The sequence below is a fragment of the Homo sapiens genome, chromosome 5, assembly GCF_000001405.40.
Source record: "Homo sapiens chromosome 5, GRCh38.p14 Primary Assembly".
Classification (NCBI taxonomy): Eukaryota; Metazoa; Chordata; class Mammalia; order Primates; family Hominidae; genus Homo; species Homo sapiens.
In genome coordinates, this window is record NC_000005.10 from 124,998,209 (window position 1) to 125,023,215 (window position 25,007).

The 25,007-nt window shown below is 37.1% G+C and overlaps 4 annotated features.

The window, feature by feature from the left end:
- Nucleotides 395-595: a silencer, noted in NCBI's record as "peak5451 fragment used in MPRA reporter construct". NCBI's record gives its function as "represses an SCP1 promoter by STARR-seq MPRAs in K562 erythroleukemia cells {active_cell/tissue: K562}" and the evidence as "EXISTENCE:reporter gene assay evidence [ECO:0000049][PMID:32103011]".
- Nucleotides 4,641-5,399: an enhancer, noted in NCBI's record as "OCT4-NANOG hESC enhancer chr5:124338542-124339300 (GRCh37/hg19 assembly coordinates)". NCBI's record gives its function as "activates a minimal SCP1, AML or CMV promoter by ChIP-STARR-seq in naive H9 embryonic stem cells {active_cell/tissue: H9 hESC(naive)}" and the evidence as "EXISTENCE:reporter gene assay evidence [ECO:0000049][PMID:30033119]".
- Nucleotides 8,364-8,413: a silencer, noted in NCBI's record as "silent region_16280". NCBI's record gives its function as "represses an Ori minimal core promoter by ATAC-STARR-seq in GM12878 lymphoblastoid cells {active_cell/tissue: GM12878}" and the evidence as "EXISTENCE:reporter gene assay evidence [ECO:0000049][PMID:35858748]".
- Nucleotides 13,875-14,075: a silencer, noted in NCBI's record as "peak5452 fragment used in MPRA reporter construct". NCBI's record gives its function as "represses an SCP1 promoter by STARR-seq MPRAs in K562 erythroleukemia cells {active_cell/tissue: K562}" and the evidence as "EXISTENCE:reporter gene assay evidence [ECO:0000049][PMID:32103011]".

The window sequence follows — 25,007 nt, forward strand, 5'->3', positions numbered from 1 at the left end:
TCCAGGTATCAACCCAAATGTGTTGAATGAAAACGTCTTGCAGTGGGGTCTGGAAATTTATGGTTTCGACAAAAATTTTAGTAAAAATTCTCCAGAGGATTATGATGAACTTCCAAAACTATGCTCCATCCAGCTAGATTCCTTTTGGTTTGGGGTTTTATTGTCATTGCAATAAGGAACAGTTCTCTTGGCAAACACTAAACTCTAAATTGGTGACACAGAGCTTCCATTTTCTTTCTTGTTTTCTTTTTTTGTAGTTTTAAGGAGCAGGGAGTCTAATAGGCAATAAAGAAGGGGGAAGAAAGATAGAAGAAGCTCCTCTGTACAGAGACAGAGGGAGGGCACTCCAAAGCCAAGAGACAGAACCCCCAGAGCTTCCATTTTCTATAACTGCATACTGAATACTGATCTCAGTTACTTGATAAAATTGTGTGACTTTTGTGATAAGCACAATTCTTACTTGATACACAACTGCTTAAGCAAACTTCTTCTTTTTTTTTTTTTTTTTTTGAGATAGGATCTTGCTCTGTCACCACCCAGGCTGGAGGGCAGTGGCACAGTCATATCTTACTGCAGTCTCGACTTCCTGGGCTCAAGTGATCTTCCCACCTCAGCTTCCCAAGTAGCTGGGACTACAGGTGCATGCCACTACACCTGGATAATTTTGTTTTTATTTTTATTTTTTGAGATGGAGTGTTGCTCTTGTTGCCCAAGCTGGAGTGCAATGGCATGATCTTAGCTCACCGGAACCGGCGCCTCTCCGGTTCAAGCAATTCTCCTGCCTCAGCCTCCCAAGTAGCTGGGATTACAGGTGCCTGCTACCACGCCTGGCTAATTTTTGTATTTTTACTAGAGGTGGGGTTTCACCTCGTTGGTCAGGCTGCTCTCAAACTCCTGACCTCAGGTGATCCACCCTCCTTGGCCTCCCAAAGTGCTGGGGTTACAAGCATGAGCCACTGCACCTGGCCTGTTTTTATTTTTCATAGAGACGAGGTCTCCTGGCTATGCTGCTCAGGCTGGTTTTGAACTCCTGGGCTCAAGTCGGGCTCCCACCTTGGCCTCCTAAAGTGCTAGGGTTGGAGGCCTGAGCCACTGCACCCAGCTCATAAGCATACATTTTATTTTTGTGTCTTATATACATTAATTCATTTAATTTATTTAATTAAATTGATTTTCTTTTTAAGATTTTTATTATTGTATATAAAACACTTATTTTCATATTCATCTCTGAACGTTATCAGGGTGTGCCACCCCAAAATATGCTACATTGGTATAAGAATTACTTTTGAGCCAAAGGCATTTGAGTTTCTGAAATAAATATCTCATCTATCTAAATGCAGAGCATACCAAAAGGAACTCAAAAGAATGAAATTGTCAGAAATCCCCTTAGTGGGAGCATCTCTAATCTTTTCTTCCCGGAGAGGAGAAGTCAGCACTACACCCAAACAGGACATTTTCACAAGACCATCATGATATCTCCCATCTAGTCACCTGTGGCTCCTTTGGCTTTCCAAAATGTCATTGCTTTTCTCTAAGTGCTCTTTCTCTCTTCCCTTTTAAGTAAGTTAGGTGTATAGACTTCAAATTCTAACTAACTTTTTGACACATATGAGAGGTGAACTTGTCAATACAATTCTGTTTTCGATTATTAATTTGTCATTTGTCAGTACAATTTGTAGGGCTCCAGGCAGAGACCCAAGAAGGGCAGAGGAAAAAAGGTTTTCTTCCTCTACCTCTCCCATGGAAAAATCTAGGAAACATATTTCCCTGCCCATTTAAAAAGCTTGATTCCATTTGCCATAGATTCCATAACTGAATGATATTCTTTCAATCGCCCTTTTATGTGTAACACAAAATAAAGCTCTTTGGTTTGCAAACGAGCACCTGTGTTACGGACTTAGTAAAAAAGAAAAAAAAGGCACAGACAGGTTAATTTTCTACACGCTTCATGAGAGATGATAAAAATAATCTTCTGGGGCTGGGCACAGTGGCTCACGCCTGTAATCCCAGCACTTTAGCAGGCCAAGGTGGGCATATCACCTGGGGTCAGCAGTTCTAGACCAGCCTGGCTAACATGGCGAGACCCCGTCTCTACTAAAAATAGAAAAATTAGCCAGGTATGGTTGTGGGCGCCTGTAATCCCAGCTACTTGGGAGGCTGAGGCAGGAGAATCCCTTGAACCCAGGAGGCAGAGGTTGCAGTGAGCCGAGATCGAGCCATTGCATTCCAGCCTGGGCAACAAGAGCGAAACCCTGTCTCAAGAAAAAAAAAAATCGTCTGGGAATATTTTTGCATTTCAACAAATTTGTTTCTTTGAAGTAGGAAATAATTTTGAAGAGTAAAAGGTGGGCTCTGTGTGTGTGTGTGTGTGTGTGTGTGTGTGTGTGTGTTGCAAAGCTATTTCCTATTCTTGCTGGTTGGAGCAGAAATTTCTCTGCTGGCCTCACCTTTAAAATATTCAGCTAAACGTCTGGGCCCGGTGGCTCATGCCTATAATCCAAGCATTTTGGGAGGCCAAGGCAGACAGATCATTTGAGCCCAGGAGTTGGGACCAGCCTGGCCAACATGGTGAAACCCTGTCTCTACAAAAAGAAAAAAGCAATAAACAAAACAAAACAAAACATAAAAAATTAACCAGGCATGCACCTCTAGTCCCAGCTATGGGGAGGCTAAGGTAGGAGACTCGCTTGAACCCGGAAGGTTGAGGCTGCAGTGAGCTGTGATCACACCACTGCACTCCAGCCCGGGCAACAAAGCAACACTGTATCTCAAAACAAACAAACAAACCCAAACACACACAAAAAGAAAAAAAAATAGCTAAAAAGAGTGCACTTCTCATATTTCCGCAGCTACATTCTACTCCAAGCCACTGTAATCTCTCATAAGATTGTGAGAGCCCCCCTAACTAATCTTCAATAAATCTTGGCCCCATTTCCCACAGCAGCCAGTGAAAAGCATAATCCCCTCTCCTCCCGTCTCCTCTGCTACCACCACTCTCAGGACCCAAACCTTCCACTTGCCTCCTGTAACACTTCGAAACACTAAGTCTTTATCATGGCCTTCAAGGGCTTCCATCTTTCTATCTCTGCCTGTTTCTGTTGCCCTGTCCCTTCTGACTGCAGGCTCACTCTGCCCCATCATGCTGGCCTCCTTGCTGGCCCTACATACGTGAATCTTCTACTGTCTCAGGCTTTGCACTTGCTCTTCTCTCTGCCTAGAAAGCTCTTTTTCCAGCAATTTGTACAACTCTGACCCTCACTTCCTTCATGTCTCTGCTCAAGTAGCTCCACATCAGTGTAATTTTTCCTAAACATCTTCTTTAAAACAGTACCTTTCCCTGTATTATCCCCATTCTATCTACCTTGTTTTGCTTTATTTTCCTCCATAGCACTAATACCATTTAATATATATTTATAATTTATTTATTTACTTATGTTCTATTTTTCCCCGTTAGGATATAAGACAAAAATATTTCTGTTTTATTAACCGTACTGTCTCCCCCACCTAGAACATGGACTGGTATAGTAAGTAAGAAACAGTATGTGTTGAATGAATGAATAATTAATCCTAAATACAATAATCAAGGGTGTTTATTCATTCATTTGTTGAATCAAAGAGAATCAAACAAATCTTGTTTCTGTCTCCAACAAATGCTGGAACCTCCAGGATTACTTGGTCCTTTATAGGATATGTGTCATTTTACAACGGTGTAAAGTTAAAAGTAATTTGTAGAAAACTGGTAGTAATGCAAATGATGTTTTTCTTCAACATGCAAATCAATTCTGTCTTGTGAAGATTCAACTTGTCTTCCCCATTGTCGAAGAAACCAGTTTTTTACACATTTGTGAATTTATTTCACTATTCTTCATCTATATATGTGTCTGTTCTGTGGATTTTCCTTTGAACTAGCAATCGCTTATCAGTTCTCTCAATGAGCTAAATACAATCTTTGACATGTGTTTATTTTATATTTGTATGAGAGTCATGATTTTATCTTTTTGGAAATTTGTTTTTTAACAAATTTGGAAATATACCTTATGCTTGAATGTGACCTATTTTGTCAAAGTGTATCTTTGGTGAAGTCATTTTAGAGCTAGGTGCTTGATGTTTTTGAGTTGGTTTGCTCATCTGTGATGACTAAGTGAACTAATATATTGGAAGTATAAAGGCATGTTGGTAAAGGAGACATAGAAGAAATAGATTGGAAGGCCAGGTTGAGTAAAAATGTGGGAGGATACTGGATGTTAAATTCTAAAAGCTGGGAGGAGATGTTGCCTTTGAAGAGGGTATGTATTTGTTGATTAGAAATCAGTTACTTCTTTGAGATCCTTTCAGGTTTCACAGACAGAGGCCAGTTAGTAGGTCTGATGCTGAATCAGGACTCTCAGAGCATGAAAATCTTTAGATTTAGGGCACTTTTTATGATTGCAATAGTTGATTCAAACATTGGAATTAGTTAAAGAAAGATAAAATCATATCCAAAGAAAATGAAATATAAAAGTAAAAAAAGTGGACAAGAAAAAATATTTAGAAGGGCAAACAGTTTTTGAAGATCCAGAGAGTGATGAGAAGCAGATACATAATGTTTTATGCTGTATGCATTAAAGCTAATGGGAGGGGGTGTGGGTATGCCTATTCATAAGAATAATGTGGTAATAGTCCAATGAAACTTCTGCTTTCTCTGATACCACAGATCTGAGATTTGAGATCTGATACCACAAATGCCTTAATGTGGCTGGCATTCATGAGAAGGTATGCAACTATTGTTGAAATATGAAGAACTCAGAATGTCAAGAGAGAAGAGGGTAAGTTCAAAATCTGAGTCATCAACCAAATTTCTTGACACTGACTGCCGCAGCCATTAGTGCTAAATAGATTTGAACCACTACCACCAGCCATAAAGGACAGATACAACCAGTAGTCCCTAGCAAAGAACACAACCTCAAGGACCAGTGGCCACAGCAGGGAATTATACTAACAATAGATCTATAATAGCCCTTTCCTCTCTTATTCATTGCCTCTGTAGATATTTTTTGTTCCTCTCTGGTGAGAAGGAACTGGCTAATGTGGGACTCTGGGGTGGGAATAGATTCTTTCCTTGTTGCTTTGAAAAAGTGCTGCTCATGCAGCTGTTATTTCTATGAAGACATCCAGTTGATAAAAGAATCAAGGGGCCAAACATAATAATTTAAGTATAATTGGCAACCAGATTCTCATAGCCTGAAAAAAGGAAAAATGTTTTGTTAATGAGAATATAGATCAAAGTCTTTTGTAGGAACATATGCTACATTTCTTTAGTATGTTTCTTGACAGAGCCCATTAGTCTGTCAATTTCTGAGTCCCAAATTGCAAATTTGAAATTGATGTAGACCCAAGCTTGGCATCAAAAATATTCTAGTTGAGTAACAAATCAGTTTTCACATTACTGTTATGTTTTATTTGCTTGATAGAGGCTATATAAGCAATAGGACTGGGATATGTGTGCATTCCGAGTGCCTGGAGTGGCGAAGATGGGGAAGAGAAAGGATACAGATGGAGTTCGAATGGATCTGGGTATATTAGTTATAGCATATGATTGCTGTATATCTGGAAATCCAGAAATACATATTTAGGAACAAACCCTATATATAATTGTTTACATCCACATCAGTTTGGTATTTGACATTTACTTACGTTACACACACACACACACACACACAAACAAACACACTGCATAGTTTATTTATTACATAATTCATTGGACCGAATTTATTAAATCATACCAGGGCTTAGCCTTGTATGGTCTATTGATTTCTAGTTTAGTCCTAGATTATAACTTGACCTACTCTTCTGCTAGATGGTTTACAAAAACCGCGAACAAAATTTCACAATGCTAAAGACATAAAAAGCAAATAAAAATCCACCATGCTAAATGCTCTCAAGAAGGTCACCTTTCTAATCCAGCTACTGTTACCAGAGAATACCTACAACAAAGACAAGTTTGTTTATGACTGTGGTCCGCTGCTTATCTGCACAATTTATTGGTCACATAAAATATTTTGTAATTTCGTACTACAGTGGGTTTGACAGAAATGTCCACATATCTTACGTAATACTTTGACTGGTTCTATCTATTTAAATTTAAATCTAAGTATATTATTTGTAAAGTTTCTAGGTTGAGTGTAAACATTGCACTGTATGCATAAATGGTTAAACCTAACCTAAACATAACCATCACATTTCTAAGAAAAGTATTTTTCTTCCTATATTTTCTTTGAGTAAGCAGAAAAAAATCCATCAGTACTTACATTTAGGCACATATCAAGCTCCATTGTTTACTTTAAGAATTAGAGTATAAATGAACTTCTTTCTTTTATATAAATGCACATATTTTTACACTGAAATCTCTCAGCTAACTCGTGACACTTGACATTAATCACATACATAGATCAACAAAGACTTTGCTTTCATATAGAAAGTAATTTCAAACATATTTCTAAATTATGACTTGTTATTGCAGTCAATTTAATTATCTAGCTAATGACAATGTATGTTCATAATCAAAGTAGTCAAAAATACCAAGTTTAGTAATTAGACCATATAATTCCTTAACAACTCAATTTATAATGGAAAAGTACAATGCTTTTAGACAATGTTCTTCAAATACTCCTCTATATTCAGAATTAGGAATTCCACAGTGTATTCTTTTGACATTTAAAGCTGGAGATGGAGTGTTTAGGTTAGAAGCGTAGCTCCCTCCTGTATTCTACCTGAAATTGCTTGTAAGTCACATTACATTCTAAATCCATTTCCCCTCAAACCATGCTGAGGGTATAACATTTACTCTCTGTCATTAATGTTCTTTTCTGTAAGACATACCAATATGAATTGTAACACAATGAAACAATTAATCTTTCTTGGGCAATTTTAATGATTCTATAATTATAGAAAACTATAGAAAATCATGTTTTCCCGTTTATCAACTCAGATACTCAGTGACATTTCAATGCCAAAGACAAAAAAAAAAAAAAAAAAAAAAAAGGCGGGGTGGGGGGGGGAAGGGGAGAATCTCCTGTATTTTCATTTTAAGAGTATCATACTAACGGAAATCTATAAACTAAACATAGATAGTGTCACAAATGCAAACTGACACATGGCATAACTGGTGGCTGTGCAAAAATCCAGCCGGAAAAGTACTAAAATAGGCTAATTTCATTTCTGCCAGCTGCCTGCCTTTCCATTCTTTATCTCAGCTATTAGGTTTGAATAAATTTCATCTCCCACACTACAAGTAATGAGCAGGCAATGACTTATGAAGCACCGAGACCAAGTTAAGACAGAATTAGAATACAATTTTAATGAGACGGAGCTGAGAAAGTGGAAGTGTTACTCCTTTGACAGACTTGGCAAAATACCCAATATTATTTCAAATGCTCTTTCCTTTTTACAAAGAAACTGTCAAATATTAAAATAAAAATTATAAAAAATAAGACTGAGGAATTCTTTAGGGGCAGATTGTTAATGTGATTGTAAGCTAAAAATAGTTATTAGAGAAGTCATTTAAGGAAGAGAGCAAATGTGACTTCAATGTAAACATATTAAATATAAATACTCCTCTGAAAACAAACAACATGCTTTGGTTTCTCTGGGAAAAAAAAAAAGCAATTAACATTCAGGTAACATGCATCTCTTTGAAATGAGGTCCAGAAATTGTTGGGGGAATGGAGAGTAGACAAATATTTTCTTTGTTAGCACTTAATTGGAAGTCTATAAAATAATGTTATTATATGGCTTTGAAATACACTCAAAATAAACTGGTGTAAAAACAAGATAAACTCAAGCATGATTTTTTTTTAACATCCAACGTTCAGTACACCAGGTGGTGGGGGCAGTCCCCTGGAAGCATAAAGGGAAGTGGTCTTTGGCTAATAAGGAAGGTTTGCACCACAATAAAAGCATTTATTTTCACACTTAAAATCATGGGGAAGGTGTTCAATGGAAAAACCCAAATGCCACAAAATAACAAGAACAACTAAAATTGTTAAGGACTTCAAACTACCAAAACTAATGAAAGGGATTTTCCAGCCTGATGCCCCCACTCATATTAGGTAACGACGTCCCATCCTCCTTAGATGCCCTGTGCCTTCTCAGCTAAGCTGAGCTGAGGTCTGGGCCAAATTGAGCAGCACAGCAAGGCTACTTATACTCTACACTTTAAATTAATTCCTCCAAACATCCCCCAAACAGTTACTGGAGGCTTTTTTTCTCCCCCTCCCCCCACATACCCCTTACTGTTTCTGTCTTTCGTTTAGTGATTACTTCCTGTCGGTTTTTCTAGTGCCTAAAACATATGTGATTTGCTGCAGGCAGTCAGTATTTATAAGGAGAGCCTCACAGCAGGTGCCACTTACAAAAAAAGGCCCCTGTGAGCATGAGTGCACAAGTGTTATCCCATGACCCAAGGGTCATGCTGCTGTTCCTACACAATGTTTAGCAAAGGAAGGTTCTTTCCATCAACAACTGATAAACAGTATTCGTCTGATCGGCCAGATTTTTTATGAAATGATAAAGCGAATGAATATATCTATGCGTCTTTAAAAAGATACATGCATGCTTTCAAAATTATATGTAGCTATTCTGACTCTGCGGTCAACAAATGACCAGAAAAAAAAATCTAGTAATTTTTTAATGCTGATGGGTAATTTCACTCGGTGCCCCCAGTCTTCCATGCCCCAAATTCACTTCCTTGACTTTGAAGTCTGGGTCCCTTAAAGCTGTGAAATTTCCTGGATAACAAACAATGCTAAGAAAACTTTGTTTTGAGAAAATAGATTTGATAGCCATGGGACCTGTAAATGTAGTTTGCTTTTTACATCCAATAACAGTGACCAAAAAGGGGTGTGCTACCTTTTCCCATAAATGTTTCCATTCTTTAAACAGCATGTTAGAAATTCAGTTAAAGGGATTTAATGGAGCTAATTATAGTTGGTGAACCTCTCTAGCTTTCTTCTTGTTTTTCCCCCTGAGAGTTGTTCAGCATCACCCACTTGCAATGCAAGCTTTCCTTAGCCTGGATCTGTCCAGTGATGCTCCCTATTCCACGGGCCCCCATCAGCATATCTATTGTAACTTATTGTGAAAATCAGACCCAAGAAATCCAAAGAAAGCCCAAGGCAATACGGGGAGTTTTAAAACTGTTCTCCCAAGTATGATCAACAAATCACATTTTGGTGTATTTAAGGTAATCCTTTTGGGAGGCCTAATTAAGTTGGTAGGAAAATTATGTGATATCTATTTTATATTATAATATTATATAAAATATAGGTTATATATTCCAAGGTTATATATTATATAGGTTATATATTACAAGGTTTGTCATGTTTTATATATGAAACATGATACAAAATTGGAAGATGTATTTCCAATTCATGAAAGAATAATGAAAGAAGACAAAAGAATGAAGCTTTAGTTGTCTACCATGTTATACATTTACAGTATGCATAGGGGAAAGGTCACATTGTCAGTTTATATCCAACAAAGATTACTTAAGAAATTTGGATTTTCACAAATAATAGAGTCTTATGCTCCCATCTCCCTGTTACCAGCCACCACCTCCCCACCCCTCAACAACCTGATTTCTAAGTAAGAACCCTATTTAGTCCTCAATAACAGAATAAGAAATATTCTTGGTCTGTCATTTGGTCAGTGTCAGATACTAATATGGCAAAAATTAAAATGCTAAGTACTGCTTAATTTCCAAAAAATTTTATGAATCTTGCTCACAAAATTCAGAGGTGGACCTCGGATATGGCCTTGGACTTGGAAGATGGAAAACACACTTGTAATTCTCATTGCCCCTGGTTGTAGGTACTATATCCCATCTATTCCTTCTCCTTTAACTCCTTCCTCCATTTTGGTGTTTTAATTTTTCCCACATGGAACCTTGGGCATACTCCCATTGTGACAGGTACCTTTGTATACAGGCAGCTTTCTCACTAGACTGTTAGATTCTTTTCTGTGCCTAAGAATTAGGATATTGATGATTGGTTGCTGAAAGGATGGATTATAAGATAATGACTAATGCAGTTCAGTGATGGGTAGATGGTCACTCAAGAAGGCTGGCTTAGAGTCCTGGGGACCGGGGTTCATAGAGAGTCGTCATAGAGTATGACAACCATCATAGAGTATGAAAGCTGGCAGGAGAAACTAGTTATACTTCTCTCCTTCAATTTCACTTTTGACTTTCCAGAATGGTGTAACAAATTAAGATTAGACTGAAAATTAAGATTGAACTGAATCAGACTCTTTAAATTGGAGTTCCATTTCTAATGATGTCAGTTCTCTCTTGGTGAAATAGGACAAGTTTCTTAACCTCCCAGATCCAATTTCCTCTTTTGGAAATATGGGAATTAACAGTACCTACCTCACAAGATTAAATGAAATATCACGTGTAAAGCACTCAGTGCAAGCTCAACAAGTCATCTTTCCCTCTCTTGTACTTTCATCCAAGCAGTCCTTGTTGCATATCTGACATTTAGAAACTTGGCCTTGTCAATGTTTAAGCAATGATGGTGTTGAGAATCAATAAGCCTTGTTAGGGAGTAATGTTTTTCATAGATTCTCCAGCCATATTTTTCATGATAAGAGGTTTTTCTGAGAGGTGATTTCTGACATTCTGCACAAATCAAAATTATTCAAGGAGACAAAGGCATTGATCATCTTCTCGTTGCTTGTTTTCCTTGACCCCTCTGGCAGCTTTACCAGCATTCTCTATAAATGCCACATATAAATTAAAACTGGCTTTTGCAAGTAGATAATTCACCCCACCTAGCCCATTTGCCTAGTTCCAGGGAAATTTGCCCCTTGATAGTATTTTTTAAATATTGACAAAATTTTAATTGTGTTAAAAAACATATAACATGAAATTTAACATCTTAACCATTTTAAAACATACAGTTCAGTAGTTCTGTTGTACAACAGATCTCCAGAACTTTTTTTACCTTGCGAAGCTGAAATGCTATCCCCATTGTACAACTACTTCCCATTTTTCCCTCCCCCAGCACCTCTGGTGATATTTTTAATTGTTGGTTTTGGTCAAATTTCAGATGTGGTGACATAAGAATACATATCTGGTCATTATTAGAGTAACCTTACAAAATAGCTTTTTTTCATTGAAAAACATCTATGTTCACAAATGCGGTATTTAAAATGCTCATTTTCTGCTACACATAACATTAATAATAAGAGTAATTACCCAAGAAATATGGGACTTTAAAGCTCATTCTCACCCTGAAGACACCGAGAGATTATGTTTTTAACCTTGGGCTCTGATTTGGTTGTGAATGGAAGATGGTATAATGTATAAAGATGGTTTTCCATAGAAGATGGTGATTATGCTGAAGACAACTAGATTACACGCTCTTTGGCCATGCAAAGTGATTCTTGAAATACTACCTGGATAATTGAGGTCAAAGTGATTTTTTGGCATCTAATCTACCACTTCTCTGCCTCATTTGGCATATTTAGATTCAGCCTATACCAGTATTTGAGGGAGGCTTAATTTCTTTGAATGCGTTACAACTTAGAACATTAATTGCTAAACAAATACTATAGTAAAGCCACAAAATGTGAAAAAAATAGTTAACAGCAAAGGAAGGAGAATTTTACTTCAGATCCTTAATTCTTATTATGTATGATTGTATTCCAATTCAGTTTTCTGATTTGCCTACTAACTTTCAATGTTGATTTCAGATAATAATATAAATCCTGAAATCACATCTGTCTAGCATTGCTAGGCTTTTCTTCCTACCTGGTCACTAAATATTTTTCTTTCATTCTCATCCCCCATGTATAAATAAAACACTTTTTAAGCATTGAGAATATTATCTTAAACAGATTCTCTGAAAATGATTTACAACAAATTCCACATTGTACATTGGGGAAGAATATTAATTCCATTATATGAGCATATTTCTTTTATAAAACCTCCACTCATTCATATCGGCACATTTAGTCATGATAACCATAATTAAAATGTCCTTAAATTTATTACTATGGCAGATTTTAAAATCACAATAGAAAACAGGATTCACTGTTGCGTTTCTTAAAGTCAAATCATCTTGACAAGCTAAGGTCACTTCAGTTCAAACCCCAAAATGTTCCTGTCCCTTAGGAGGCTGGGACATTATTAATATTTTTGTCAAGAAGGACTTGTGAAGGATGCAGTCTTTCTCAGGGATGAAATGAAAGGCGTATTCCACTGTGTGCCATGAAAGAGATTATATATCTTCCGCAGAGTTGGTTGGGGATCAACTGCCAGCTTCTTCATGGTGTGAACTCGTGATTGAAGCACCAGCTGTGATCCAGGGTTTGAAAGAGACCTTGAAAATGGCAAAGCAAGACCCTGTGTTCAGAACTGACAAAACCAAGCTGACGAGAGAAGCAAACGCTATTCTTTTGGAATGCTCATCGCAGGGAATGTCATTGACAAAAAGAAAAGCGTGGGAGAGAGAGGGGGAAAGGAGGCTTTTGTGTGATATAAACTGACAGACCTGAAATCAAATGATAATGCTGCAAAAATGGGGATTTTCTTGTTTATCCATTACATTGTAGATAAATAATGTCATTACAGGCAAAATACGTAGTCAGAAGAATACTTCTTTCTAAAGTTGCTTCATCAATGTAATTGGATTTTATTTGGCTTATAATATTAATTAGAAATATCTGTGTAGCATTTCTTGGCCTGATAGGAGTAAGGAGATTCCAGAGAGTTCTAAATTATACACAACTGGCACCTCATGTAGCTCCAGAGGGTCCTAAATTATACACAGACTATCACCTCATGTAACTCCAAGTTAGAATTAAAATGCCTTTGTTAACTACCCAGAAGTGGAAGGCAGTCATTTCTTCCCTGGGAGATTGGCTTCTTTGTTATTTTTAGCTTCTGAACACTTAAACGTATTTCTTTCATTTTTACTAACCCAGGCCATTAAGACAAAATGTGTATAAGGTAGTTTTTTGTTTTGTTTTGTTTTGCAGCACAACTGTTGGTATGCCCATTAGTGTCCAGTGGAAACTTTCACTTTCAGATGTGGAGGCCGTCTTCATGACCACATGGTTCTGAGTTGACCTCCTTGATGGTGCCTGAGTTGATCCTTGGAAATCAGCTACGTCCTAGTAGCTGACCACGAGGCAGCACTCTGCCTAGCAGGCACTAGACCAGCGTTATAAGTAGTGTGCCACACAGTATCTAGCCATTAACAGAATAGCAATGCTCCATCTTTGCTAGAGGACCACTTGGGAGAAACATATTATCCTTAGCCATTAAGTACAGACACAAAGAGGTGGTCCCCAGAGGGCTCCAGGACAAGTTGGAAAAGCCTTTGCTGAAGACAGAACCAGCTGCACTGAAAACCTGTTTTGCTAAATTTAGTGCACTTTGGACCTTCCTTTTAACTTCAGAGTTACCTCTCTAGACGCTGGTCAGTCCAACAATGTTTATTTAGTGACATGAGGCTGAGAAGATGAATATCCTCACGCTCAGTTATTTACATAAAGCTAAGTAGCAAAGCCTGTAATGTTATAATCAGGTACCTATCTGCAAGACAGTTTTGAATGACACAGGGTATGAAAAACATTTACTCTAGTTTACACTGTTTTTGAATACTGTTTAGTCTCTATGGTGAAAATATTAATACTTTTTAATGATGTATGTGATCAAACTTTTATTTGATTGGCTTCTTATGGCACAACTCTTACAAAAAGATGGGATGTCATCATGTGCATTCTCTGCCTTTGAGCCTCTGATGATTCCAGTCATCTCAGAAAGATAGGGCTCTGCCCTCTTGCTTCTGATTTGCTGGCAATAGACCTTCAACTAATAGTATATCTGCTCAGCTGAAGATGGAGTGCTAATCTAGGGGGACTCGAAATGGCTCTGTCATTTTCTAGATGACAGCTCCTATTTTCCACTGGCTTCTGGCACATGCGCTATCATCCGTCTATGTCAAGAAGACACTTGCTTATCTGGTTGCTAGAAATGCTTTTGTTAAAAACACGTAACTGCAGTTCATCAGTCTTGTGAGGAAGTTGTTGATTTTGCTAAACTAAGTTTAAACTCCACTGTGGTTTTCTGATATGACATCTATTTTTATTAGATATTGTCATGATTATTTATAGTGTCTTAGAAGCATACTAGAATTTTTTTTTTAATGGCAATTTAGTCAGCTGATTGAATGGTGCAAAACAAAAGTTTCAGGACCAGGTACGCCCATATCAGATTTGATTCTTCATTTTTTGGCAACCATTAATTAAGAAATCACTGGCTAAAGAAGAGATAGAAGTTGAATTAGGGCCATAAAAAATCAAAATTCAATGCAAATAATGTATGTCTCACAACAAACAATGGCAAGTATTTAAAAATAAAACCAGTCATCTAGTTGTAACTTATGAAATACTATCAAACACCAAAGAATATCATCTGAAAATATTCTTGATCAATTTGTAGAAGTAAAATTTCTATTTACACTGGAAAATATTTCCTTTTCTGGTTTTCTTTTTGTTTTGACCAGTCTGCTCTCATTCTTCTGGTTTGATTAAGACTTGATCAGTCAGAACTTGTGCAAACCCTGTCTGACTGATCCCAACTAGCCCTAAGTATTCAGGAAGCGGCTGAAGAGTTCCCGTTCAGGACAACCAGCTAATATTGGCTCAAATCCTTTTGTCAAATATTAACTCACAGCCAATAAGGTCGTTAACAGTGCCCAAGGCAAGGACATGCCTCCTAATCTTTGAAGCGCAGTACCCAAATGTCAAAGCCAAGTGCTGTTTCCAGCTGTCCTTTCTCATACTTGCCTGTCTGAAATATACCCTTGTGTTCTTTTCTCTTTCCTTCTTTTTCTTCATACAAATACAAACTCACAACCCTTTCTACTAGCTGCTGGGTCTATCATGTGGCCTTTTCATAACGTGGATTGGGGAGTACCAGATAGGGCACATTTTGTGGCAGCCATCTACTTTCTTTCAGCCTTTTAAAAACAATGGCTATGACTATTACCAGAGAGATGGTTGGTAAGAGCTGCTTTGAGATTTGCTGCACCTCTGAAGCCTGTGTCTGATGGAGGAGAAACGAAGCCAGGAGCTGAAGCTAGTACAATAAAGCTTTCCTGAGAGGTTTTGTGGATGGGAAGTTATGACTCCTGGGCGTGGAAACAGCCCCAGAACTCTGTTCTTGGGTCCATTTTCTTTACTTTTCACTTAAACTGATGAAAGGGACACCGATGAAAGGATAAGGGCCTGAACGTTTTTAACATCTGAAATATGTGCATAACATTGGATGTGTAAATAAATTTAAAAAGTGAGCACAGCAATTAAACTGAAAAACGATGAGGCATCTCTCATAAACAGAAGCTCTGTATTTCTTGAAAGGAAAAATACATCGAAAAATGAAGACAGAGAAAACAGAAAATCTGGAATTTATTTTCTTTTTAGCACAACAAGACCATGTTGGAATAGATTTGTCTAAAATGGGTAATGACATCAATTTTGTGATAAATAATTATATTTCTAATAAGAAAAAAGTGCTTCTAATTAGTTATATTGATATTCAAGTAATTGTAAATTAAGGGAAAAATATTTGATATTAAGTTATTTGCTTTTTAAAAGAAACTTGCAGAAAAGATGCTCATTTTTAAAAAACCAAATTTTATGTTGATTATTTTGCAACTTTATGAGCACATATACACCCAAATATTTTTAAAAGCATAGCAAGTGCTTCGTTTTCTCCTCGCATCTCTGACTCTTCTAAAAATAGATGAATCCATTCCTATAAAGCAGAACAAAACCAAATAAAATGCATATGAACTTCAGCCCCATAAATTTGAGAAAACTTTCAAACAATGGATACTTTGGATATTTTATACTAATCCTATTTAACTATTTTTTCATGTCATTTCTTCAGCTATATACATCAGTAAGAAATTAACTGCCTCTAAAAATTTGACAGTTATATCCTAGATTTTCAGAGTGGTATAGGTCAATATTTTCAATTTAAAAAATTTATCTTACAATTTATGCCTTTATAAGGGAGTGATAACAATGTTTTACTTATGCAGCTGTGACATATTGAATGAGGAAAGAGCTTTGCCATCTGCAGGTGAGGGCTAATACCTAGCATATGTCAAACGTGCTGGCAGTGGTATTCCAACTGTATTCTGACAACAGAATCAGAAGAAATAGTGTTAAGCTGAGGAGAAAAGATTTGGGGCAAGGAACAGTTTTCCAGATGAGGAGTTAAGAAACATTGCTTACTATAATAAGACAATTTTAATTCATTTTTAAGCACCACCATGGGGTGACCTCCAGAGACCAGCTTTTACAGAGAGGCTTGACACTCAGTTGCATTTTTCCTTGTAAGTAAGAAGCAAATTAGGTTACCTGTCCATCCAGGGTGCATGGAGAAAAAGACAGAGCTGGAAGAGAGATTGCTGACCTAGTGTTTCAGTCTACAGAGAAGGAAATCCACACCTCTCTAGCATTTATCATTAGCCAGTTGACAAGTTCAATGCAATGCTGAACTCATCCTAGGTTTCCTAGCTTTTAGTAGACCTACTGTTATTTAGAAAAACTCTTTTTTTAAAAAATAAAAGAACTTATAAAGTAAAATAGTAGACGCTACAAAATCTAATAGTTCATACTTAGAATATGCAGGATTATTTGAAAAATGGAGAAATATCAAATAACAAAAAAAAAGAGGAAAATATTTTGATAATGCCCTTTATGTAAGCTACAAGTTAGAGCATCCTACCTAGAAATGTAAAGACCCAGGGGAAGTGAATAAACAAAACCCACATAAATATGGGATGAGAGTGGGGAATAAATACTATGCAGTTTTATTATTTTAAGTTCTGTGCCAAATAGAATTCAGTACATACAGCAAACTAACAAAGTACCATCAAATGCCAGTGGTAGAAGTACAATCAAATATCAATGGTCACTTCCTAGCAATGTGTCTTTGGGCAAGTAACAAGTGCTCTAAACTCCAGCTTTCCTCTCTGTAAAACTTGAGTCATGTTTACCTCCCAGAGCTATTGTGATGATGCCACACCAGGTGACCTAGTGCACCTGTAGCCAGTGCCCCCACGCCTCCCCAGTGCTTTGTGGCCATACCCCCAGGTACTCCAGAAGGGCCATGCAGCCAGCGTCCAGGAAAATAAATTACAAGGCATTTCTCACTTTAGGAAAATCCCATGTTTATTTTATTACGTTGTTGCAGAAATCAGCAAGACTGGGAATAAGTTTAATTTTGAAAAGCTGCATCAAAGGCTGGGCACAGTGGCTGATGGCTGTAATCCCAGCACTTTGGGAGGCTAAGGTGGGAGGATGGCTTGAGGCCAGGAGTTTGAGACCAGCCTGGGCAATATGGCGAAAATACAAAAAATTAGCAGGGCATGGTGGTACATGCTTGTTATCCCAGCTACTTGGGAGGCTGAGGCATGAGAATCCCTTGAATCTCGGATGCGGAGGTTGCAGTGAACCGAGATCACACTACTGCACTCCAGCCTGGGGGACAGAGTGAGACTGTTTCGAAAGGGGGAAAAACTGCATCAAAATATATACTTTGAGCTCACTTGCCGTGAGTTTTTGTTTGCTTGAGCTCCTGTTCCTTTCTCCTCAGATAGGAGGTGTCCTAGTTGGAATATGTTGTCATTCATTTCATGTTGTATTGCCTATTTTTTCCATATTTGGTAGGCAGCAAATGCCTATTATGGAGTTAAAAATTTACTGCCATCCTCCCAAGTAATGTAAGTAGGGGACTGTTGAAAGTCACAGGAGAGGAACATGTACTCACCTGGGATTGTCTAGTGAGGCTAAGCACCACAGATTTTAAAGTTTTGAGTTTTAAGAATATATTGTTTAGGGTAAGCCTAAGTTGATATTTTTCATAGCCAACGCTAGATACTTAGGAGCCTTTTGGTGAAAAGTAGCTAGTATTTTAATTATTATTACTTTTTTTCCAGCCAGGCTTTTTTTTTTCCTACTTGATTTAAGCTTGCCTAGGGAAGCTGGCCCTGCCATGTCTTCCAAGGAAAATTTGGATCTGGCTAACTCAGCAAGATATTGCCAGTGTTCTGTTCCCTCCACACACACACAAGATTCTGCCCCTGCTAGACCTGTGCCTGCCACAGTGGACCACCCATTCTTCCCTGTGTAATTCTCTGCATATAACCTCCTTTGTATAGATTTTTTGTCATTTGCATATGCTAAAAATGTATGTTCCTAGGCATGGAAAGGTTTCTCAGGCACATATTGAGCTCATATTCTCATGCTGGCTGAACATAAAGCATCCCTCCCAAGCAGTTTGGTTATAATTCAGTCCTCTGAATCAACATCAGGCCTGATGTGAGTTGTGTACTTCATTGTTATACTCAGTTAAATGTCATCAAACACCCAACTTGGCAAACTTGCCAAACTCACTAATTTACCAAAAGTTACTTTTTTTTTTTTTTTTTTTTTTTTTTACCTATTTACAAAGTTTTAGGCAATTCTTATGGAAAAAAATGGTTTTAACAATTTTTGAAGATTTCTGTGAAATTATATTTGGCTATGATGAAGTTTTAGTGTAGTTTGATTTCGGTGGCAAACATTTTACTGTGGTCAGGCAAAGTTTATTAATGTCTGGATTTTTCTGTACTTTCTGTCTCAGGCTTTTGGAAATGCCTATTTGTAGTGTGTTTTGAATTACAAGTATGCATATCTTGATGTCAAGAATTTTATAAACAATTGAGGGGATTTTGTTAAAACATATACAATATTCTGTTGCCTTTTTACCACTTAGAATTCACAGATTTTTTTTTTTTTTTTTTTTTTGGTCTGGCTCAATTCAAGGAATGTTTTTCATGTGTTTCAAAAGTTTGAGAAGTGCCTAATGTCTGAGATGTGAACCATGCACAAAGTTGACATCCGACTTTGAGAGACTAACAAATTTATTGTTTAATTAACTGGATAAAATGGCTACAAGTGAAAGAAAAACTTACATTAAATCTAAAACTAAGGACAAGCTAAAATAAACTAAAAATTCAAAACAAAGCCTTAAAGACTGTTGAAATTTCCCAAACAACTTTGCTATAAACTTTAAGTAGATAACAAGTATTTGGGAAATCTGTAATTTGGCTATTTTTTTTCTTTTGGTCAATAGACTTTCAGCAAAAAGGCCTTGGATGAATTGATTTTTGGTGAACTGGTTTCTGAAAAATAAGCTTTTGGTAAATGTGTGAATTTGAAAAATTTGGCAAGTTGGTCATTTAGTCAATTGGCTTTTAGAAAATTGATTTTTCAAGGAATTAGTTTCTTCCACAATTTCCCAGAAAAGATAAATGGAACAAAACCAAGATGGTGTATGGGAATATGAATGAGGGGTACAATAAGACATCAAGTATATATTTTTTCTGGGGTCTAAGAGTTGTATATTGACTAAAGTTGAGGACAAAAGCCTTAATTTCCACAACTTATAAAGAACTACAAGCTATTGAGCTTATTAGAGAGCATAACAAAATCAAAACTAGTCCTACCAAAAACTCCTTTCTTACCCTCCCATATGCCAAGAGTAATAGGGCACAGTCTGGGTGCTGTTTGGAGTTCAGCATTCTTGGAGAAAGGCTGCTCCCTTCCCAAAGCCAAGGGGAGGGGCTACAAGAGAATCACTCTTAAATATTGACACTGTACACAAGAAAGGAAGACTGACATTTGTTTCCCCTTTGAAAGTCTTCTAGGTCTTTTTGGCCTTTGACCTTGCTGACTCAGTCCTGTGCCATTTGGTTGAAAAAGAATTAAAGAGAGACAGTGTGAAGGACAGACATTGGAATGGGCTTAGCACATTCCCTGAGGTAAGAATGATAGCACCTGCTCATGCCAGCAGGTCCTAGAATTGGCCGTGTTGTGAAGATGAGATCAGAGGCCACCATGCTGATTGGCTCACTGGCATGCAGGGAGCAAAGATGTAGACACATTGGAGGAACGTAGCAAGTACAGCACCTGCTTGGAGTCCAGTGGGGGGGCTGACTGAATCTCACAAAAGACCATTACTGTTTAGTGTTGGGCTCTCCATCCATTCTTATTGAACCCATAGATACCAGCGGTTGCCACCAACTAAGGAGAGGACTGTACTCTTGCCCAGCTTAATAAAGAGATGTTTGTGTTTTCCCTTGTTCTCCCCCTGAGCCTAGCACACTTATAAAGCTCATTATTAAAGGGAAGAATGAGAGTGAGGAGTAGATGCCTCCATATCTCCCACCCCTCCTCTAAGCTTCTGGAACTACCGATCCATGCGTCAATGATGGTGAACAGGTGATGAACCCTGCCTGGAGTCGGAGATGTTAAAAATGAACAAAATTGAACCTTACATAGAAAATAACATTATTTTTGTAATGAATAATCAGGAAAGTCATGGAAGTCTTATATAAAAAGGGTTTTTCAATGGGGGGGACAGTTAATAAAAGAAACCAAAACCTTTTAGGTTTAAACTCCAGTAAATTGAACTCTCCAATAATCAGATTATGGAAGTCCATGTAATCAGTCAACTCAAAATTGATAGAACCAGAATTAAAGTGTCTCAAAGGGGATGGAGAAAAGGGACTGGGCTCAAAAGAAACTTAGGGGTTAAGATTTGCAAGATTCGGCAACAGAGTGGATATGGAAAGTGAGAGAGTAGGGTGACTTGTAGGTTTCTAATTTGGGTGCCTAGTATTGAAGTTAACAGAGATGGGGAATACAGGTGGAGTAGAAGAGGATAAGAGACATGTAGGATTGGAGTTTGAAGTGCTTGTGGAGAATCCTGGAGGAGATGGTCAGAAGGGAGAGTGAATGGATGTTTTTTCTCCCCAATCACACTTAAAGGTATAGTTAGGAAAATCACACATATATGCAGGCATACAAATGTATAGTATTATATACATATCTACACACACATGCATGTATACATATATATATACATCATGCATGTATACAGATATATACACATCATACAAAAATAAATGTGTATAATGCACATTTGTGTTATATATTATGTATACCTATATAATACATATATATAAATTTATATGTGTATATATGTATTATATATGTAATAGATATAATATGTATACAAAACAACATGAAGATTTAAGAAGTATATAAGCACTTGTAAATTATAAGGTACAAATGGATGTGTAGGTGTTTAAAGAAGTAGTAGAGGCCAGGCACGGTGGCTCACGCCTGTAATCCCAGCACTTTGGGAGGCCAAGGTGTGTGGATCACTTAAGGTCAGGAGCTCGAGACCAGCCTGGCCAACATGGTGAAACCCCGTCTCCACAAAAATACAAAAATTAGCCAGGCGTGGTGGCGGGTGCCTGTAGTCCCAGCTACTCAGGAGGCTGAGGCACAAGAATCGCTTGAACCCAGGAGGTGGAGGTTGCAGTGAGCCTAGATAGCGCCACTGCACTCCAGCCTGGGCGACAGAGCAAGACTCAGTCTCAAAAAAAAAAAAACAAAACAAAAAAGAAAGAATTAGTAGAAAGTACTGTTAAGAGTGGGATGTTCCTAATCAGGGAAGATATTGTAAAAGATATATCCATTTTGAATATCGTTTTCTAATTTGTTGAAAGTCCCTCTTTTACTATGACTTTCCCCTTCAATTTAAAGATAAAGAATTTACACTGTTTTATCTTTAAAAATGTTACATTTTTCCATTTAGAAGACTAATACCTACTCACAGTAGAAAATTTGGAAAAATATAGGCAAGAATGATGATGTTACTTTCCATTATAGAGACATTTTATTGTGTCTGCTTGAGTAAAAATGTCACTTTTTATCCAGATTATAAGATTCAAAACTGGTTGAAATGAGCTAGGGAAGTTGCTGATTTTTGCAGAACATTCCAAGTATAGAGTAATATCAGTTTGTGAGTATGCAGTGTGAGTGTCCGTGTGCTGAAGGTGGTGTTGGCGGCAGTAAGTTACATCAAGTTAATAATGACAGTTTTTGTGTTGCTAACATGAAAATAGAAAGTGTGAGTATGTCCCAGATACATGACAGCGTATTATTTTTGTTCAATGGAAACAGATGTTGTGAAGAAATTGAATCAGAAGTAATTTTGATGGAAATATTTTTACTATGTTATACACTGTGTAAGATGCAAATTCCTTTTCTTTTTAGCTGTAACCTCAACTCCTCTGGGGAAATACAAATGAAATATATATATTTTGAAACAATAAATAATCTAAAAACAGGAAAGTAAAATTTAGTGATAAAAATCTGGCATCCATCTACATAACTGTAGTCAACTGATCTTTGACAAAGAAAAAAAGGCAATATAATGGGGCAAAGAAAGTCTTTTCATAAAAATGATATTGGAGCAACTGGATATTCGAATGCAAAAAAGAATGTAGAAATAGACCTTATACCATTCACAAAAATTAACTAAAAATGGATCATAGACCTGAATATAAAATGCAAAATTATAAAAATCCTGGAGTAGAAAACAGGAGAAAACCTAAATAGCTTTGGGTACGGTAATGACTTTTTAGATATAACACCATTAGTGTGATACATTAAAGAAAGAATTGATAAGCTGGACTTCATTAAAATGGAAACTTCTGTTCTATAAAAGAAAAAATGTCAAGAGAATGAAAAGACAAGCTACAGACAGGGAGAAAATATTTGCCAAAGACACATCCGATAAAGAGCTGTTATCCAAAATACACAAAGATCTCTGAAAACTAAACAACAAATTAAAAATAACCCAATTGAAAATGGACTAATGACCTTAACAGGCACCTTCTGAAGAAAGATATGCAGATAGCACATAAGAATATGAAAGATGCTCTACATCATATGTCGTCAGGGGAATGCAAATTAAAACAACAATGAAATGCTACCACATAACTGTTAGAATGTCCAAAATGCAGAACACTGGCAAAGCCAAATGCTGGCAAGGATGAGGAACATCGGGAGCTCTCATTCACTGATGGTGGAAATGCAAAATGGTAGAGCCGCTTTGGAAAATAGTTTGGTAGTTTCTTAAAAAAATAAATATGTGTATGTAAAACCATATGATTTGGCAATCTCACTCCTTGGTATTTACCCAGGGGAGTTGGAAACTTTATGCTTATACAAAAACCTGCAAATAGATGGATACAGCTGCTTTATTTGTAAAACCATTGAGGCAATTAAGATGTCCTGCAGTAGGTGAAAGGATAAACTGTGTTACTTCCAGACAATTGAATATTATTTGGCACACAAAAGAAATGAGCTATCAAGCCATGAAAAGACATGGAGGATAATACTAAATGAAAGATGCCAATCTGAAAGGCTAGGTATTGTATGATTCTAACTATATAACATTCTGGAAAAGGCGAAACTATGGAGACAGTGAAAGGATCAGTGGTTGCCAGAGGTTAGGGGCGGGAGGGAATGAATAGGTGGGGCACAAAGGATTTTTAGGGCAGTGAAAATACTCTGAATGATACTACAATGATAGATACATGTCATTCTACATTTGTCCAAATACATAGAATGTAGGGCACGGTGATGTAAACTATAAATTTTGGGTGCTAGTGATGTGTCAATATAGATTCATAAATTAACAAATTTACCCTCTGGTGGAGGATATTGATAATGGGGGAGGCTATGCATGTTTAGAGGGAAGGGGATATGGGAAATCTCTGTACCTTCTCAATTTTGCTGTGAATGTAAAACTTCTAGAAAAAAATTAAGTCTTAAAAAATCTGGCATTCTGGGTACTTTCTACATAAGCCATTTTATTCCATTTACATTGTTTCCTTCCTCACTCAATGTCTGGAACACAAAAATGAAGGTAGAACCAGCCAAGAGTAAACTAAAGCGACAGTAGAATCTTAGGTTGTTGTGAAACTGTGTTTTTTCCTTCCTTCTAATATCTTCTGTAAAATTTCCAGGAGACTTACTGTTTTCACTTTTCTCATTTCGGGATATTTAGACAAATACAGACTCTACCTATAATATTTTCTTCCTCATTATTTAGTCATTACTTTTTCAAAGTTTTCAAGTCTTAAGCCCTCATGCTTGGCAATTCAATGTAGTTTAAATCAATTCAATAATATATCATTCATGTCTCAGTCAGAAAAGCAGAATCATTTTGATGAATGTTATATACTGTATATGAATCTCTTATCTATCTATCATCTATCTATCTATCTATCTATCTATCTATCTATCTGATGTTTTAGTTTTTTTTGTTTAAATCTTAAACTAATTCACTGTTCATTTTGGTCTTGGGAGTGGCAAAGGTAGGAATCCAGCTTTAAAATACTAAGTTTTAAACATTAATATTTCAATTTCCTCTTCCACTTATTATAAGATTCAATAGTTTACAGGGTATTCTGAAAATTACATTCTGAATGAGAACTTTGCGGCTTTCCATTGATCTGTGATAATCTCTCTCAGTTGCAGCTTCACCTTCTATTTCTTTTTATACAAAAAGGTACATGTTATTCATCTCTTAATGTCTTTTCACTTTTACCTGTCTTAGATAAGCTTCCTGGAAGTGGACTGTGAGTGGAGAGTTGCCTACAGAAAGTTTATTGAGTTCTTTTATGAAATATACCTATAATGAAGTGAATGAGCAAACATAGAAAAAGCAGTTGCAATTGAGGTCTCAGGCATTCCTTTGGGGACCCCTGGAATTGAGATATCCTTTCAGAATCATCCAAATTGAGGCAAGAAGCTTGGCCCTTTAAGAGGCATATCAGCCAATCAATGTTCCTTGAGGGGAGGTGTAATCTTGAGTGAGGCAGCTCCCTGTGGTGAGACACAATTTCCAGTAAGGGTCTCAGCTGTGGTCCATCAGCAAATGATATTCCCAGCAGCTGAGGGATTTATGGTTGTCTCTGAAAGGTGCTCTAGGTGGGACACGACAGTATCCACTACACTGCCAGACAGAAAGCAGTCGTTCATTAATTTTATCGTCATTCTTATTCTTTGTCCTGACGTAGTTCCACTTTAGAACTCCCATTCTT